The 19,878-nt window shown below is 40.1% G+C and overlaps 1 protein-coding gene across 7 annotated transcripts, besides 2 other annotated features; it reads left to right on the top strand.

Annotated features, from left to right (window-relative positions):
- PRKAB2 (protein kinase AMP-activated non-catalytic subunit beta 2) lies at nt 42-17,406 on the top strand. 7 transcript variants are annotated; one of them, XM_011509729.3, is made up of 9 exons: nt 42-83; nt 345-523; nt 4,579-4,745; nt 5,573-5,666; nt 5,894-6,014; nt 9,939-10,072; nt 10,732-10,800; nt 11,679-11,715; nt 12,870-17,406. In XM_011509729.3, exons 2-9 carry the CDS (start codon nt 368-370, stop codon nt 12,887-12,889), a joined length of 798 nt encoding a protein of 265 aa, XP_011508031.1. In that variant the 5' UTR covers nt 42-83; nt 345-367; the 3' UTR covers nt 12,890-17,406. The 7 variants fall into 7 exon arrangements, 5 of the variants coding, with proteins under 5 accessions (XP_011508031.1, XP_047280500.1, NP_005390.1 ...); XM_047424544.1 differs by lacking the exon at nt 4,579-4,745; NM_005399.5 differs by lacking the exon at nt 11,679-11,715.
- Nucleotides 113-382: a silencer, noted in NCBI's record as "silent region_1277". NCBI's record gives its function as "represses an Ori minimal core promoter by ATAC-STARR-seq in GM12878 lymphoblastoid cells {active_cell/tissue: GM12878}" and the evidence as "EXISTENCE:reporter gene assay evidence [ECO:0000049][PMID:35858748]".
- Nucleotides 9,765-10,964: an enhancer, noted in NCBI's record as "P300/CBP strongly-dependent group 1 enhancer chr1:146633127-146634326 (GRCh37/hg19 assembly coordinates)". NCBI's record gives its function as "activates an origin of replication core promoter dependent on BRD2, BRD4, P300/CBP, MED14 and CDK7 cofactors, with strong dependence on P300/CBP, by STARR-seq in HCT116 cells {active_cell/tissue: HCT116}" and the evidence as "EXISTENCE:reporter gene assay evidence [ECO:0000049][PMID:35650434]".
- Nucleotides 17,407-19,878: the final 2,472 nt, after the last annotated feature.

Below are 19,878 nucleotides of genomic sequence, written 5' to 3'. Positions count from 1 at the left end.
ATTTCAATAACTTTATTGGTGGCCTGATCTGCAGAACAGCCATCACATCAGTGGCCCTTGGAGGAGGGAGCGCATCGCCCGAGGTGACTGGAGTGGGGGCGCCCCTGGCAGTGAGCGCGGGGACGCGGGGGAGGTCCCGATAGCGGGTTTCCTGAGCTAGGGCCAGTGAGGGCACCGGGGTATTTGCAGGCGTTCCCGCAGGCCAGGAGGGAGAGGGCTCCAGGGCTCGGCTTCCCTGGGGCGGGGAATCCCTTGCCCTGTCCCGAGGCGCAGGGGCGGGGCCGGGGGGCGCCCCTGACGCGGCGGCTGAGGTGTTCCCAGCCCGGTGTCGTTCCCCGCGGTAGGTGGTCCCCGACGAGCTGCAGCCATGGGAAACACCACCAGCGACCGGGTGTCCGGGGAGCGCCACGGCGCCAAGGCTGCACGCTCCGAGGGCGCAGGCGGCCATGCCCCGGGGAAGGAGCACAAGATCATGGTGGGGAGTACGGACGACCCCAGCGTGTTCAGCCTCCCTGACTCCAAGGTAAGCGTCCCATGCCCGCAGTTGGTGTCAGTACTGCAGCGGGTTGATTTCTGGGCTCCTCTTCCCTTTCTTGGTTCTTTTCTACCGCGCCGAACCGGGCTATGGTTTTTTGAATTAAAGGGATTTATCGGGGACAGAGGTGTTGGATGATAATTCCTCTTGAAGTGCCGCCTCAAAATAGGATAAAGAGGCGGAGTTCTTGCTTTCCTGGTGTTCTGACTAATCTGTTGGCCACATTTTTAGGATGGGGACAATAGACATCCCCCCATCCCCGATCCTCCGAGCACGAATGGCTCTCTTCCATAGCGTTGCTGAATTTGTAGTTTGTAATCCCTGGTGGACAACTTCAGAGGGTAGGTTGCACGAGTTGCTGACCATAGGTGGTAGTTTCTCACCTTTGCCCTGAGGTGGCTAAATGAAATTCTTTTTCTGAAAATTTCTATGTATCAGTATCATTTTTGCTCTTCTAGCAGCTCTACAGTTGTGATCCTCTTCCCTTTTGGCACGGCTGTAAGCAGCAACTACTTGCTTATTGAATACTTTCTCCTAGTCTTGGGGATCAATTAAGGACATCATTTAGTTGACTGCTTAATTTTTGTCCCATACTTTATAGTTGTGGTGGCTGAGGCTGTGCCTCTTTCACGCCCCGCTGCTGCTCCGTAGGTGGAAGAGCCAATGATTCCACGACTTGTTTACTCCTCAGTAGTACTTCAAAATGTTGCGTGGCTAAAAAAACGACAACCCACAGCTGCCCTGAAGACCTTGCTCTCAATTCCAAGGACTTTCAGGAAGAGAACAACTTGTTTTCACTCTGTAAGAAAGGACAGATGGAGCTGATAGCAGCGATTACCATTCTAATGTTTCTAATGGCTTTCAGAGCTGTCAGCATGAAATACAAGTAATTCCTCCAGGTAGACTGACTGGATGAGATAGAAAAATGGAGGGCTTGAGGAGATTCGGGTGTGTTTGATGTTTCCTATCATTTCATCACTTCCCAGGGAACTGGGGCTTTAGAGAGTGAATAGAGTATTGTTTGCCATATTGGTAGCACATGGAATTTGGATTCCATGATTTATTTCTTTGGATCTCAATTGATAACATCATCACAGCCTGGCGCAGAGGCTCACGCCTGTAATCCCAGCACTTTGGGAGGCCGAGGCGGTTGGATCATTTGAGGTCAGGTGTTCGAGACCAGCCTGACCAACATGGTGAAACCCCGTCTCTACTAAAAATACAGAAAAAGTAGCCGGGCATGCTGGTGCATGCCTGTAGTCCCAGCTACTCGGGAGGCTGAGGCAGGAGAATCGCTTGAACCCGGGAGGCGGTGGTTGCAGTGAGTTTAGATCAAACCACTGCACTCCAGCCTGGGTGACAGACTCTCAAAACAAAAAAACAAAAAAACAAAAAAACCAACCATAATCACAGAGAAGTGAGAGTGATTAAAAGGAGCACTTATTGGGGTTTATTCTCCAATTCTCCATTCTTATTTGGGCTATCTACAAGCCATCTGAATTTACTTCTTCAAAGCTTTCGAAAGGTGATCCGCCTCATTATATTTTTACCCTTTTCCTATGTTGATGACTCAGGATTTAAATACAGTGTATTTGTCGAACTGTGACTGCAGTAATTGGTGTCCTGATTAAAAGCCAGGTTGCTCTGTCTGAATTGGGGCCTATTTTGTATTATTCTTATCTCTCACCTCAGTCTTGGCATTTGTGAATTAAGAAAATTATTCATATAATTTTCAGATTGTCTGAAAATCAGATAATTCCTAAGGTCTCATTTAAGTCTAAAATTTTATAGTTCTCAATGTAGCCTCTTTACTTCTAAACTCAACATTTTACTTAAACATCAAACTGTAGTTCTGATTGTCGTTTTGCCTCTTTTCCTGGTAGTTTTGCTGAGTAACTTGGAGTAAACAATCTTTCTGCTAGTCAGTTGCATTCATTCCTACTACAGAAATGTCATGTCATAAGTGGAAGGGCTTTCCTCCAAAGCTAGGCATATTAATAGTTTGTAGCTTTCAAATTCTAAACTGAAAATCCTGTCATAAAAGTAACTGACAGAAACAGTGGCAGGGGGGCCTACTTTGCTTTGAATGCCTGCCTTTTTCAGTGGACTAGTTCAGTGGTTCTCAATCCTGTTTGCACATTAGAATCACCTCAGATTTCTTTAAATAGTTTTTGGAAAATTTGAAACACTTTCAAAGTAGGGGGAAACAGTATAATGACATCTATATACATGCCACCCAGTTTGAACAATGATCATATCTTGAATGAACATATAACATCTATACCCCAGTCCACTATTCTCCCACTAGTTATTTTGAAGCAAATTCCCAGATATTATATCAAGTATTATTTTATCTGTAACATTTTAGGATGTACCTCTAAAGATGAGGGTTTTTTCTTTGTTATTTTAACATAATCACGGTATATCTGGGAAGCTTTTTTTCCTTTATTTTAACATAATCACAGTGTTATCTAGAAAGCTTTTTAAAAATAGGTTCCCAGATCTTACATCCGAATCTGAGGGTTATTCTTAGGCATATGTCAAATTCTTGTAATTCTAACGCAGCCAGTTAGTCAAGAGTGCATTGTTCTGAGAATATGTAGTTTTCTCTTAAGTCAATTCCTTATGTGAAAGTCCTTTCAATTCTCTTTCTCTATTTACTTTGGATTATCCTGCTACTGATATGCTATACTGTAGTTTTGAGGAATATCAAGAGAATGTATGGAGGGAAGCTATGTCAACCATTTTGAAAAGAAAGCCCAAATGAATAAGCTAGTCCTTTTTTTAAAAAAAAACCCACATTATTCAATTTAGTAATATTTAGGCTTAATACTATACAGTCTTATTTACCAAAGTCACTTAAACCAGTCTAAAATAGGGGTCAGCAATCTTTCTGTAAAGGGCCAGATAGTAAATAGTTTAGACTTTGTAGACCATACAGTCTCTGTTATAGCTACGCAATTCTGCCACTGTAGCCTGTAAGCAGCTATAGACAATATAGGTAAGCAAGGCAGGTATGTTGGTTCACACCTCTAGTCTCAGCTTCTCTGGAAGCTGAGGTGGGAAGATGGCTTGAGCCCAGGAGTTCGAGGCTGCAGTGAGCTATGATTACACCACTCACTGCATTCCAGCCTGGGTGACAGAGCAAGGTCCTTTCTCAATCAATCAATCAGTAAAATAATAGGTAAACAAATGGGCAGAGCTGTTTTCAAATAACACTTGATAAAAGCATCTGGCTTACTGGCTGTCTGCCAACTCTTGGTCCAAAGGATAGTAATGAAAAGAAACAGGAGTTACTGTTTTTACAATCCCATAAACCTCATTTGATAAGAGAGCTACTTTTGATAAAGGAAATTGTATTTTTGATCTCTTGCTTCTTGAGGTTCTAGAATTTTTATTCCTACTCCTGAAATAATTAGTATAAGCCTGGGATAGGGGAATAAGTAAGATTTCATAGCCACTTCTCAAGTTTTAAGAAATCAGTGATCTAGTTTTTGAATTTTTAATGTTTCTTCTTTTTACTTCTTAGCTGAAATACAGTTTATGAATTACTTATGAATTTTGATATCTCTGACTTCCATTACAACTGGTAATTGAGAGCTATTCATATTTGCCTATAAAAATATATGGCTGACTTAATTATCTTTTACAGAACCATACTTTGTTTTCATTTTTTTTTCCTCTGAAGAAAGACTCAGAAGCATATCATAATTGCCTGCCTATGAGTTAAACTAGTGGTAGGGAGTTATTTTTTTCTTTTTTTTTTAAGGGAGAGTCTAAGGCTCTGGAAGGGTAAGTGACACAGGTAGACTCAAAAGTTAGGCTATGATTTAGGCAGTGCTTGAGCATAGGCCATTTGACCATTTTTGGTCCTAGATGAGTTCTTTTTCTATAATTTGTTCAAACTCTGATTTAGTTGCTAATTTTGGGGTTTATATCCTTAGCCAAAGCCTAGCACCCTTCTCTATCCTAGGGAGGAGAGTGACCTTTTTAGAATTCTTGGGTCACAGTTTATTCTAGGGATGACCTACTCCTTCTTACAGCTCCCTGGGGACAAAGAGTTTGTATCATGGCAGCAGGATTTGGAGGACTCCGTAAAGCCCACACAGCAGGCCCGGCCCACTGTTATCCGCTGGTCTGAAGGAGGCAAGGAGGTCTTCATCTCTGGGTCCTTCAACAATTGGAGCACCAAGATTCCACTGATTAAGAGGTGACAAGTGTCTTGGTTGAATCTAAGGGTCCAGGAATAGAGACCTGATTTCTTTTCTCAGAAGAGAGACCCAGCTGGACTTTTCTCCACCTACTAAGGACTGTCTCTAGAACATGCCCTTTTCTGCGGCCACTTAGTATATCTGTGGGATTTTTTTTTAACCTCATAGTGAGTCAGAGATGTTTTACCCTTTAGAATTTCATTGCCTCAGAGGGATTCATAATAGCTTTATGGCTACATTCTTTAGGACTATGTCATACAAGTCCTGTCTATGCTTGTGGGAAGTCTTTTGTAACTGTCTGAGTCTTGTTGCTCTGACTTCTGCACTAAAGCAAAACACATTTTGAATTTTTAGGTAGTCATGTTATTTGTTGCTTCCAAAGCAATAATGAGTGATTTAACTGGTTGTCAGAATGGCCCTTTGTATGGTAGTTCATTCTCTAGAAAAGGTTCACCAAAACAGGGAAAGAGTACCTTGAGGCACTTCTGTATCCTAAACCTACCTATCTTATTTGCACTGGTGAGGAACTTGTTCTACTGAAGCAAAGTAAGTTATACTAAGGTGAACCATTTGAGGGGATTAATGTTTTTATTATTCTTTTCCAGATATTGGTTAAGAACTAACGTTGTTGGGAGGAGCTGGTAAATACATGTCCAAGATGATACAGAAAAGGAGAATGGGTTTATACGTTGTTTTTTACACCAGGGGATACAATGGCTTAGGAATCTGGGAAATTATTCATATGATACTATGATTGCCACTTGTTTTTTAGATTCAGTCTTCTAAAAGGAACTTGGCCTGTTTGCCTTTCTTTTTTCTTCTGTAGCCATAATGACTTTGTTGCCATCCTGGACCTCCCTGAGGGAGAGCACCAATACAAGTTCTTTGTGGATGGACAGTGGGTTCATGATCCATCAGAGGTAAGGCCTTGATCTCCAAGGGTAACCATTGACTTAGCAGTCTCATTTTAGCTGTCATTTCTGTCAAGACTGATGGGCAGCTGCTCCCCTACACTGGAGGATTTCTCTCTTGATAAAACGTGGAGGTGCTGAGAACAATCGTGTAAATTTTAGTAAAAGAGGAAGGTTGGATGGAAGAGATGGATTTGAAAGAGAGATTCAATAATTTTTTCTATTCACTGTTTCAGCCTGTGGTTACCAGTCAGCTTGGCACAATTAACAATTTGATCCATGTCAAGAAATCTGATTTTGAGGTGTTCGATGCTTTAAAGTTAGATTCTATGGAAAGTTCTGAGACATCTTGTAGAGGTAATTTTGTATTATTTACTCTCTCTTGCTGTGTCTTTCTTGTAGTTCCTTCCTAAAAGTTGTTTATGTGTGTATATACATATAGAGGGAGAGAGAGAGCAGGGGGTTGGGGGGAGGAGAGAGAGAGACAGAGATTTTTCTCCTGTAAACATTTAGGTCTCTTATTTGCAGCAAACACAAACACACACATTGTAACACAAGTCTCATGATACAATGTTTACCTTATTACATGGGATACACTCTATTTTCCATGTTATCTTTTATAATCACTAATGGGCTACAGCCTATAGTTTGAAAAGCTGTTTCTAGTAATATTTCAAGTTTTCCACTGACCTTTGATGATATTACCCAGCAGAGGCGATACATGTGTGTAGTTTGTTTGGTTTGCCCCATCTTAATCCTGCCAGTTTGAGACCTCAGTTAGCAGTTTCATGATTTTATGAGGTCCAAAAAATGTGGGGAAAAAAATGGTTTAAAAAACCAACAGCCTGGGCAATATGGCAAGACCCATCTCTACAAAAAATTTTTAAAAATTAGCCGAGCGTAATGGCACATGCCTGTGGTCCCAACAATTTGGGAGGCTGAGGCGTGAGGATTGCTTGAGCCCAGGAGGTCGAGGCTGCTGTGAAGCATGTTTGAGCCTCCTCACTCCAGCCTGGGCAGCAGAGTGAGATACTGCCTCAAAAACAAGACAACCACCCCCCTGCCCCCTGACAATTCTGTTGTAGGTAATTGAAATTTTGTAAATTTTTGGTTAAAAAAAAAAAAGTCTATGGTAGCGGAAAATATCTTTACACTTTTATTTCCTCTAATATTATTTGAGCCAAGGCCTTCATCTCTGCTTACAATTGCTATAGTATCAGAGAATATTTTGCTAACCACACTTGTAGTTACCATTTTGTTACTTTACAATAAGAACTATCTAAAGAATTGTGCACAGTATTCCCAGTGAGCACACTTCTCTCCTGTGAGTTCAAAGCCTGCCTCTGCTACTAACTAGTTTTGCCATCATGAACAAATCTCTCAACCTTTTTCGTTCTGAGTTTCTTCACAGTAAAACCAGGGACTTAAACTTTCAGTGATTCTCAGCTGAGGAGGCACAATACCTTAAGTGGAACATATTTGAATTTCAGGGGAGAAGGGTGGCTTTGCTGTTTTTAAAAGAAATTATTGGCTGGGCACACTGGCTCAGGCCTGTAATCCCAGCACTTTGGGAGACCGAGGCGGGTGGATGACGAGGTCAGGAGATCAAGACCATCCTGGCTAACACGGTGAAACCTCATCTCTACTAAAAAATACGAAAAATTAGCTGGGTGTGGTGGCAGGCGCCTGTAGTCCCAGCTACTCGGGAGGCTGAGGCAGGAGAATGACGTGAACCCGGGAGGCGGAGCTTGCAGTGAGCTGAGATCTCGCCACTGCACTCCAGCCTGGGCGACAGAGCGAGACTATTATTAATAGTGTAATCATCTGTTGAGGAAACTTTTGAAAATGTTGTTTTCATCATATAAGCTCAGAAGGTTAAATTGGGCATTATTTTTGACTGGTGGGACAGTAATTTAAAAGGGTTTTAAAATGCTGAATTAGATTATGAGGATACTTGTGACTAATTTTTGCATTATATAATTCTGGCAAAGTAACCAATAAATAGACATGTATCATAATTATATAGAGAGAAGACTTGCATACTTTTGATATTTCCCTTTCTCCTAATTTCCCAATCTATTGAGGTAACGCTTATAATCCATTTTTTACTAGGAATCTACAGATAATGGATTTTAGTCTGCACTCATTTACTGTCTATCCATGTATGTAACTTTAGGCAAATAACCAATTTGTATTTATTTTTTTCTGGTGAAAAGGCAATAAAAACTATTCTGTGCACTTCCCAAGGGTATTTTGTGGATCATGTGACGAAATAACAAAGCATAATACTTTGTAAGGTTTCAAGTTCCATATGTTTTAAAGATATTATTTAATATCAGAGTATTACTTCTGCTTTTTTCTTTTGCCTTATATGTATTTTTTATTTTTAATTGACACATAACAATTGTACATATTTATGAGATACAATGTGATGTTTCAATACATTTTATATGTGTAATGATCGAGTCAGGGCAATTAGCATATTCATCTCAAACATTTGTCGTTTCTTCGTGGTGATAACATTCAAAATCCTTTCTTCTAGCTATTTTATTTTGTTACATTATTGTTACCTATATTCACTCTACTGTGCAACGGAACACTGGAACTTAGTTCTTACAATGAATTTGGTGGCTCACACCTGTAATCCTAGCACTTTGGGAGGCCGAAGTGGGAGGATCACTTGAGTCCAGGAGTTTGAGACCAGCCTGGGCAACATAGTGAGACCCTGTCTCTACAAAAAAAATCAAAAAATTAGCTGGGCATGGTAGCATGTGCCTTTAGTACCAACTACTCTGAAGGCTGAGGTGGGAGGATCACTTGAGCCCAGGAGGTCAAGGCTGTAGTGAGCCGTGATCAAGCCACTGCACTCCAGACTCGGTGACACAGAGCAAGACCCTCTCTCAAAAAAGAAACAATAACATTTAAATAAAATATATTATAATATATTTCTCTTCATTTTTGTATATTGTATTCTTGTCTGCATACTTTTTTTCATTTTTTTGAGATGTAATTTATACATCATAAAATTAACTCTTAAATTGTACAACTCAGTAATTTTTAGTATATTCAGAGTTATGTGATTATCACAACTATCTAATTCCAGAGCATTTTTATCACCCGCAGAATAAACCCTGTACCCATTAGCAGTCACATCCCATTCCCTCCTCCCCTCCGTCCCTGGCAACCACAAGTCTTGCTGTCTTAAGGATTTGCCTGTTCTGGACATTTCATATCAGTGGAATCCTACAATATGTGGTCTTTTGTGACTGGCGTCTTTCACTTAGCATAATGTTTTCAGGGTTCATCCATGTTCTAACCATGTATCAGTACTTCGCTCTTTTTTATGGCTGAATAAGAGCCCATTGTGTGGACATACTGTTTGTTTATCCATTCAGTAGTTGATAGACATCTTGATTGTTTCCACTTTTTGGCTATTATAAATAATGCTATTATGAACACTGGTGTACAAGTTTTTGTGTAGACATATGTTTTCATTTCTTTTGGGTATATACCCAGTGTATAATGCTGGGTCATGTGGTAACTTTATGTTTAACTATTTGAGGAACTGCCAAACTGTTTTCCAAAGTGGCTGGACTACTTTACATTCCCTCTAGCAGTGGGAATAGTGTGAGCGTTCCAATTTCTCCATTCCTTTGTTGACACTTATTACTGTCTGTCTGTTTGATTTTAGCTGTCCTAGTGAGTATGAAATGGTAGCTTATTGTGGTTTTGATTTGCATTTCCCTAATGACAGTTACATACATTTTGTCCTTATTGTTGCAATCATTGTTGTATTGGTAGTCTTAGGAGTTTATAACCTTGTTGTTTGGCTGGAAAAAAGAAAAAATCTAATCTTTTCCCATTGTTTGAAAGTTACAAGGCATCTTTACATCCATTATCTAATTTGATTTCCTTAAAAACATCATGAAATAGGGCAAAGATTATTTTTATTTTATAAAGAAACTGACCATTGTGGAGGGATTCTTCCAAGGTCCTACAGCTGATACATGTAGTAGCTCTTCCCTGAGCCTGGGTCTTTGAGTCTTTATATCTTTGTCTGTCTCCCAAATCATGTTGCTATGTTGAGGAGCTTCATGGTTTATGTCCAGGGGACTCAGATTTTTCCTCTGGTTACCTTACAGCTGTAGATCCCACAGGTCACAAGTTTGTGATCCAGGACTTCTACCATATTTAATGTTAGCTGCCATGTATTGATAGCTTTTTCCATGCATTCTTGCTAATTCTCCAACTCTTTCTCATATTTGTATAAATATCTTTCAGACCTTTCCAGCTCACCCCCAGGGCCTTATGGTCAAGAAATGTATGCGTTTCGATCTGAGGAAAGATTCAAATCCCCACCCATCCTTCCTCCTCATCTACTTCAAGTTATTCTTAACAAAGACACTAATATTTCTGTGAGTATCCTGAGTATTACTGGGGCATCTGGGGGTGTCTAGGACCATTTGGACCAAAGTTCAGTAATCCTAGAGGTTAGGATTACTACAGAGGTGTGTTGAGATTATAAGTCATACACATACCAATAACATTACAGATTTCCTTTTTCCAGTGGTGAGTCACAGCTTTTTCAGGTACTGATATAAAAATTCATAGTTGTCTCCTCATCCTAATAAAATCAGGATCAGAGCTATGGACTTCTTTTGAGCACAACATAAAGGAGTAGTTATCATTTGGGGGTGTACAAAAGAACTATGAAAGCTTTTTTGTATATAATTCATGTCTCTATTCAATCTACTTGATTCCTACTATGATTGTTTTTGCCTTGTAACACAACTCTTCCTTGTGTGTTGTGGGCAAGATTTTTGTTTTAGCTCTCTTAAGGAAGATTAGTAGATGCTGAGGCATGAGATTTCTGCCCTGGACTGATAATTTTTCTAATTTTCTGTAATAGGATTGTATTATTGATACATACTAGAGTGGGTGCATTATTGAAAAGAGATAGCGCATTCTAGTTTAAATTTCTCAAAGAGCTCTGAGGAAGAGTAAGCTGTTTGGTTTGTCTGTGCATTAATTTCATTTAGTAATTTTTTTAGTAATTTTTTTCTCTTTCTCTTAGTGTGACCCAGCCTTACTCCCTGAGCCCAACCATGTTATGCTGAACCATCTCTATGCATTGTCCATTAAGGTAAGTGGTGGCCCTGGCTCTTCACAGAGCTCCCTGGAATGAGAGGTCAAGGGTAACATACGTTCTCAGTGGTTACTTTCTCTGCTATTTCATTGAAGCTGAAGCTGGCAGTAATGATCAAATTATAGAAGAACTCTCTTTTTTTTAACTACTAGGTTGTTTGTTTTAAAATCTCAGTCTCTGTGTTCTGGCTGGCTGAATTGCCCTCTGATAGGACTTTTTTGCTGCCCAGTTATTTTTTGGGTGACTAGAATCTTTACACTAACTGTTTACTTAAGTTTGTGTTCATAGCATAGGATTTCTTCTGCAGAAAAAGCAGGTTTAGCTTCCAGTTCAAAGAATGCTTGAATGTGATATTAAGGCTTTCATTTTTTGAAGGTGGAATTGAGCTACTTTCAGGTGCCTCATTCATATATACTCAGGTGCTTGCATCTCTCCTATACACTAGTTAAAGGAGAGATGTGACCAGATTTGCCCTGTCCCGTCAACTCTAGAGTCCTCCTTGGTTTTTCTGCTGCTTTAGAGTCTGGGTTGGAAATAGCCATTCTGTTCTGTCTTGTTATGTCTTTGTGGTTTGGCTATTGGAATAAAGTTATATAGCTCTGCAGTTATCAAACCAGGCTGATTATCATTAGAGTCTCCTGGAGAAGATTGTAAAAATACAGATTCAGCAGCTCCATTCCTAGAGATTCTGAATAAGTGCATCTAGGATGGGCCCTATAATTTTTTTAAGCTGCTTTTACTTGGATATATAGCTGGATTCGGGAAATCACTGATATAGCTAACAAACTATGTGGTACAATATAACACTTAAAAATATATTATTGAATTTAATTTTTATAATAACGTTGTAAGTATTTTTAACTCCTGTTTTATAGATAAAGAAACTAAGGCTCAGAGAAGGTCAAATTGCCAGTAAGTACCAGAGACAGGACTGCTGAGGTCCAGTCCTCCTATGCTGACTTCATATTCTTTCCTATATTATCATTATGCCAGGTCTTTCCAAGTAGGTTTTTCTCAGGTATTCCTCATTTCCACAAAACCTGTGGAAGTGTAAAAGTGAATTGTTTACCTGCCTTGCTTCTGTCGTATTTAGGCTTTGTGTCAGCATGACTCTGGAGTGTTAACCCGAGAAGCATTCATGGTGGATAATACAGTACGGGGGAAGGTAGAAGGATACACTTGTTCTTAATCGGATTTGCTTGGGTTCTTTGGGATCTGATGGATTTTGCCTCCTGTAACTGCTCCTTGGATGTCATTTAATTTGCCTAGGCTTGCCATCTCCTCCTGTGGTACATCTGTAGTCTACAACACAGCCTGGGAAATGGTACCTCTTGCTGTCTTCTTACTGGTTCTGACTCAGGTGAAGGTGTTTGATTATTGTGGCTTAGCTTGGTTCTGACCCATTCCTGATTCTCTCATATTGTTTAGGCAGTTTGGAATTGATCCATTGGATTGGGTGTCTTTCTGAAGAGGATTTTGACATCTACTTTGTTCAAGGATAGAGAGGGATTCCTAGGTTCCCTCTAAATCAGAGAGATCTTTTGGAAGTCATCCCTGGTTTTAAATGAAAATTAGACCTGCTTTGGGACTTGGAAATAGTTTTTCAGAAGGATTGTTTCTTTTTTTCCTCATTGTCTTTAAGACTTTCTTCTAGAAATGGATGCCAGAATATTTTGTTCTTTTTTGTTTTTCTTGCTAGTTTTAGGCCCAACATTAGAATTTAAAGTAGGGAAGGGAGCAAGGTAGGAGACTATTATTTCTTCAGCCCTTTTATGTGTCAGAAACTGTGTCAGATATTCTCATGTAATCATCAGAGCAACCTTAATGGTAGGTGTTATCTTTTGTAATGATGAGATAAAAAGACTTGGACACACTAAGTAGATTACCCAAGGCCACAAGTAGAATGATGATAGGAGTCAGAATTGGAACTAAAACTTATTTGACCTCCTGCTCTTATATCAAACTATCTCTGTTAAAAGTGAGTGACTGTGAAGGACTGATGACTGGGAAGAGCTACCTACTGTCTGAAGTAATGAATTAGCTGCGTATGTTTCTTTTCCTTGCAGGACAGTGTGATGGTCCTTAGCGCAACCCATCGCTACAAGAAGAAGTATGTTACTACTCTGCTATACAAGCCCATTTGAAGGGATCCCTTCTTGCCTCTAAGGATTCAGGAGAAGCATCTCCCTTGCATTTCTGGACTGAACCAGTCTTACCTGAGACTGGAAGGCTGATTTGCTTTGAGGCTGATATGTGTGTTTCAGAGCCTCTGAGTAGGATGCTCTGCTTTTGCATTTGATTGCAGATGAGAGCTTTATGAGTTCACGGAATTTATTTTAAGAAAAAAAAATATACATATGAGAAGAAGGTAAATGGAAGCCTCCTAGCCCCAGCTAGAAGTATTGTTTCTGCCTGTGGGTTTTCACCAAGACCTGTTTGGGGGCGCTGCAGGAATAACTATATAGGAAGATTTTTCCTAAAATGAAAGAACAGCAAACTCTTAGGATCCTTGTTGGGTGGAGATTCTATCACTGCTACCTTGGCTCTCCAAGGAATGGGCTTGTGCTAGACCGCTGCCCTACTTAACAGCTGCCTCATTGCAAGGGCAGTTTTTCTTGCATGGGTTCTCTATATTCCCAGAGTATGTGGCACAATCTGTGTTGTTTATATGATACCAGATGCCCCACAAGAACCCTTATTCCTCTCATTTCACATTCTTCCTTTAATAGCCTCCTTCAGATCCCATACCTGACCCCTCTCTAACACAAAACTTATTGGGTAAGTGACTTTGAAAAGTTTTGTGGCACCTGACCCACCCCAGACACTAGGGCTATCAGAAGGTCTCCTTTTTAGCCCAGCACAGGCCCAGGCCACTTTGTCGTGTTTGTTTTAACTTCTAAAGAAAATATGTTTCAGCATTATAAGAAAGGCAGAATGCAGAACACCTACATTTTTGTTTTAGTTTGGTGCCAAGGCTCAGGCTGTATTGGCAAATTCCCGAAAGTTTTCCCACTTTGCCTGGCCCTGCTTCTGTCTTTTCTTTCTCAGTAAACAGTTCTGAAGGCAGGAGTGGAACCCGGGAGTATTTTCATGTCTTTCATCCTTGAAAGATTTTTATGTGCCTGCATTTTTTTTTTAATTAAAAAATGCCTTTTCATTGGTCTTAAGAGACCGCATTGGAGAATTTCAGGCTTTTGATAAATGCTTCTTCAAAGAGATTTTCTTCTCTAGTCTAGCCTTCCACATTCTTAGATTAATATGGCCAACCCTGTACACATCACTACACTAAACACTGCTCTAGATAAACTGCTCAAGTTCATTTAACTCATTTGATGCACCTAAAGGGGTTCCTCATTTTAAAGATTTGTTAGGCCAAGAAGCAAGAGAGTATTCCTAGTATTCCCAACCATGAAAAGTATCATTCTTTGCACCAAATGTTAACAAAATCATTTTGTTCTCCTGCCTCTTCTTTTTAAAGGTGTTTGATGATTAAGTGGGGTCACTGAATTCCATTTGTGGACTGAAAAGTATTCAATCCACTTTTGGGGTTCAGAGATAAAACATTTTTTCCCAAGTAGCTGGGGCTCTTCCATTTTGCAGATAAGTCAAATAATCAACACTAAAGGAGGCTAAACTGTTGATGAATGAGAGACTCCCTGACTGCTCAGATGACCCTAGCCACACTGAAAGGGCACCTACAGGTCAGTTTAGCTACCTCCTGTCTTTCCCATGCAAAGCTGATAACACAGTTGTCTTTGGACTTGTAGACCTCTTGGATTCCAGGTGTGATGGAGTAAAGTGTGGGATTGTTGTTTTGCTGGGATGCAAATAACTAAATGCTTTGGTGGTTAATTGCTAAGAGTAAATACTACTTTAGCCATCCAAGGCCACCTTCTGCAGCAAAAGGCTTTTGTGGAGAACCTTTTATGTTCCCAACCACTTTTTGAATGGTGTGCCATTTAAAAATCCAGGCCAGATCCTATTATAACCAACTCTCAGGATTTACAGCCTTCAGTTGTACTAGAATTTTGTTTTTATCCAATACTCATTAAATAAGTGGGCCACTTAGGAAGATTCAAAATCTTGGTTATTACATGAAGTTTGTTATATTTCTTGTCAACAGTATTGAAATGTAATATGTATGTGTTCATGTATGAAAATTTTTACTCCACACAGGTGTTTCAGTAGAGTGGGGCAGGAAAAGAGATCTCTTCGATTTCTTTCAGGCCTGAGGCTTTTGTGAAATGCGTCAGCCCCCTGTGACAGTAGGTTTTGATGCTAGTGATCTTCAGATCTTTCTCTCTGGAAATGTGCAGAGAGTGTCAGTTTCCCAAGTTCTGAGGTAACTCTCAGCCCAGATGTGAAATGGGAGCCTACCAGCTGGTATAGAAGGGAATGGGTAGGAGGCACTGGGTGCTGACTCATTCAGCACTGTCCCTTTTCTATACTGCTGATACATCCCATGGTTCTGAGAAGCCTTATCTCAGTCTATTTGGAAGAGAGGGAGGAAGAGAAGGAAGTAACCCAAAGTACTACTCATTTATCATTGTATATTGATTAGTTAAAGGGATAATTAATTTAATGCTGAGGAGAGTTTGACAGATTTTGAAAATGAGTAAAGGCAAAAAAAATTTTTTTAGCCTTTATTTTGCTTTTGGGAATTTTACAGAGTCAAAGTAGGCAGAATAAGAAAATAGTTCTTCAGGAGGGCCGACCTTTAAAGAACTTCAACATAGTTTCGGAATTGTGGGGAAGAGAAGAGTGACTGAGCTGAGAAGTAATAATAGAATAAAGGGTTGAGTAACTTACAACTGAAAATGATCTCTTTTAAAAAGAAATTAAATCAGACACCACATGGTGGTGTCCTTGGATCTCACTGTACAGAATTAGCAGTGTATAACCATCTTCTCTTTTCATCTTGTTCCAATTCTCTCCTCTTTCCTTTCCATTCTGCTTTAAGCTCATGTGTCAGGCAGACTTTACCAGAGTGTCAGACATTACCTAAAACACATACGTTAGCCATGCTGCTGGTATGGAGAAATTCCACACCATGATTATTAGCCTCCTTTAAGCTGAATGGGATTTAACCATTCTAGGCAACACCCCTGAAGGGCATACCTAACCTCAATAGTGTTGGCTTTTAAAACGTATGTTTGTATGGTAGAGAAACTTTGTAAAAGAAGAATCCAAGAGAAGTTTGTGAGGATCCTACAAACCCAGGCCCACTCACTTTGCTCTAATTCTTTCTAGTATCTTGTAGATCTAATGGGTCTGGGATAAAAACTTTGAAAAGTGTCAATATTCCATGTATGCTGCTGAAATGAAGTTAAGTTTGGAAAGAAGTGATACCTCTAGACTGGGTTTATATTAATCTGGGATATAAATGAAGAAGACATACTAATAGAACTCCTTGCTTTTAATTGGGGAAATAGGGCTTTAATAATTTTGACCTCAACTAAAAATGATATGCAATAGTCTCTGTGTGTGTTTGAAATACATTGTGTTCTCAGAGATTTCTACATTCTCACGTTCTAGTGATTTGGGGCATGGGCTTAATAGCAGATGTACAGTGTATTCCTGCATTATTGTGATTCCCCTTAAAGCCCAGTTCTTGCTGTCTTCTACCAGGGGCTGCTGACTCCAGTTACCCATGGAATGCAGGACCTGGGAGGGGTAGCCATTAGGGTCTTTCAAAACTCTTTGGATCTAAGCATTTGTCTCTCCTTAAGTGCCAATCACAATTGGATATGGAAGGACTGTGATTTCTGCAATGAACCCAAACTTTTAGAGTAAAAAGCCAAATTTAAATTATAAGAAAGAAGGGAAAAAAGAGAAAAACTCAAGTCTATTACTTGTAGAGTCCAATTCTTAGCAATGGAATCGCTCTAGGATTCTAGTTTGGGCTTTGTCTGGATTTGCTTTTCTCAGTTGTGCTTTGAAGTGAATAAGCTTTGTTACAAATTAATTTTTTATTAGTTCCAATATTAGTTGGAGTTAACTTGAATTGATTGTATGTAGCACAGCACTTTTGCAGTAAGATTGGTGTGAAATACTAAACACTATGGATTTTGTAGGTGTCAGGTTAAATGGTCAAGGGATACCTACATTAAGTCATATATTAGGTATTGATGATCTTACTTCTTTTCTGTTCCCCTGTACAAAACACTTACCTAACCCAGCTTGTGGTTTTAGGACAGCCAAAGCTCACTGTTGTTGGTTAGTCCTAATCACTACACGGGTCTCATAAATGAGACTTGTTTGAATTTTGGTACATTGGAGCATGTTGGTTGGTATTACACGGCAGCATTTCGAATGAGTGCAGCTCTGTGTCTGTCAGAAAGGAGAGATAAGACTACTTTGAAGGGAATTAAATATGTGAGTCCTCTTTTTAATGGTGCTTTTTGTAACCTTTAATGCTGAGGTACAGAGCTGCTTTTCAATATTTCATAAAGGAGTGGCAGACAAGAGTGGATTTTAAAGCTGTTCTTCAAACGTAATTTGTCACTGGACTCTGACACACCTGGAAATTATATGATATGATACATACAGAAATGTTGTGGGTTTTTTCCATAAAACTTTAATAAAAGTATTATACAGCAATAATATCTGAGTTATTGATTGATGACTGATTATATTATCAAGGTCTGTTTGCCTTGGTGTCTCAGGGCCTAAAGAATGTAAACTGCAAGAAAACACATTTGAAAGAAGTCATGGGGTAGGGGACACAAATGATGTCCTACTTTTTCTCTTCTTTTTGTTTCAGGCTATGCCAACATTATAGGAATGCAGACTTCATGATTTGATTTTCAGCATTTTCTCTGCTGGCTGCACATTTAGCTATCATCCTGTACTGGATTAGCTGAGCTCTTAGACCAATGATTCTCATCCCTGGCTGCACATTCATAACACCTATGGAGACTCTATAAACATTGGTGGTCAATCCATTTCCACCCTAGTTAAATGGAAATCTCTGGTATGGGGTCCAGGCATCTGTATTTTTTAAGTTCCCCCAGATAATGCTAATAGACATCTAGGATTGAGGACTGCTATCCTGGACCCTTCCTACTTCTCTTTCTCTGTCAGATTATATGCTTCAGTATATATGAAAACATTATATACTTTATTCTGACAGCAGATCATTCACCTGAGATGGCCTTGTTCAGGGACATGATTAAAATATAATTTCTGTTTTCCATTCCGTCATTTCACAAGGTTTCTACATAGCTGGCCTCTGGACTTTTTTTCCTAAAACAACCAAGCTGTTGTATTTTTGCTGCTCTAAAGAGTCAACTGAGTTGAACTAAGGAAGAAAAGGGACTGACAATGTGGAGTGTGAGAAGAATAGGGGAGTTACTGAGGGAGTGGAAATGCAAGACAGCAGGACATGAAAGGAAGACCTGTGACAGAAATCAACTAGAACAGTTCACCTCAAACCTCAATAGCAAGTCCAGAGATTGCCTCCAGGCTAGAGGTAAAAAGTGGGATATGGTATGAACTCAGCCTCTGGAAGAATGGTCTTCTAAACATCATGTACCCCAGTCACTGAAAACAAAATGGCACCAGAATTTCATCGGGGCCCAAACTTGCACTGATGTGCTTTCTAAAGCATTTATTTCTGGCTCGTTTGGCTTGGAGTCTTTTGTAGTATCTCTTCCAAAGACCCCCTTCTCCCCTGCCTTGACAATTAACCATGACACAGGTGATTTGGGTACATCATGAGTCTCTTCCTCTCCCTACTCCTCTGTCCTCTGTGGTCACTGTTCATCCAGAATCACATATGCAGGTCTGGAGTACCACGTCCCTTTCTGTAACCCATTTCTTGGCTCCAGGGCACGTACATTGACTGAAGATGAACCACTCTGTTCTCTCCTGGCAGTTAGCATTCTCTCAGCACTTAGCTGTGTTCTGAAGGAGGCTCCTGTCTCTCAAGAACTTCCTAAGTAGAAAGGCAGAGTTCTGTGTCAGAAGTTAGAAGGTTTAAGGTCTGTATGCCGGGCGATATTTTAAACACAAAGTAGGGTTTCACAGACTTCTCAACGACTCCTGAGCTAATTTCCACTTACTACATCTTCCAAAGCCCTCTTGCTAGTGACAGCTTATGATGAGAATATCAGGTAAGGATATCGAACACCTGAAAGAGTTATGGAGATTACTACAGACCTGTATACCTGGATGGTGTTGAGGGGTGGACTCTGACTTCAGACCAGCTGATACTCTAAACTATAACCTACAACTCTAACTTATTTTTTTTGAGGGGTGGGGGGGAAATCTCTGTTATTGATTACAATAGTTGTGGATCACTTACAAGTTAGATATAGCGATTGGGTAGTGGAATGGGTGTTGGATGCAACAGGATCTTGGAAAATATTTCTGGGGGTTAGAGGATAGGCTGAGAATATTATAGATGTTTGGAAACATTTGTGCCAACCTGAAGATGGTGTTTCTTTGTCTCTCCCAATTAGCACAGCTGTGTTCTGTTGGTCATCTGGTAGAGTGATCAATCTAGAGTTAGAATACCTAGGGATGACATAAAGGAATATGACAGTCCGGAAATCTACCAGATGAAGAGCCAGTCTGAGCTCAGAGGGGATTTTGAGCCAAGGCATGGCATTTTATTTTTAGATGGAGCTGAACATTGTGATAGTAACCAGCACTAGATGAACTAAAGTTCAGGAGGAAAAGCGGAACTATCCAAGGTGAACTGAGATTACTAGCCATTTTATCCCCTGGGCCCATTTGCTTACTCTGCACGTGGAGTTAGGACTGACCTTTGCCCAGACACAGGGTGTTTGATGGGGTCAAATGACATTAAATACCAAGCACTGGATCCCTAAAATATGGGAAACAAATGAGGTGAGCCCTTTAGTTGCCCAGGTTACATGCTGAAGGGAAACTAAGATTGCAGATGGAATCAAGTTTGCTAATCAGCTGACCTTGAGATGCAAATATTACCCTGGATTATTTAGTTAGGCCCAATCTAATAAGTGCAAGAGGGAAGTCAGAGTGATAGGACATGAAAAGAACTTGACTTGCTGTTGCTGGCTTTTGAAGATGAGAAAAGAGAACTATAAACCC

Source organism: Homo sapiens, chromosome 1 (assembly GCF_000001405.40).
Source record: "Homo sapiens chromosome 1, GRCh38.p14 Primary Assembly".
NCBI lineage: Eukaryota > Metazoa > Chordata > Mammalia > Primates > Hominidae > Homo > Homo sapiens.
Note: the sequence above shows the minus strand (reverse complement) of the source record. Positions and strands in the feature narration are given on the sequence as shown.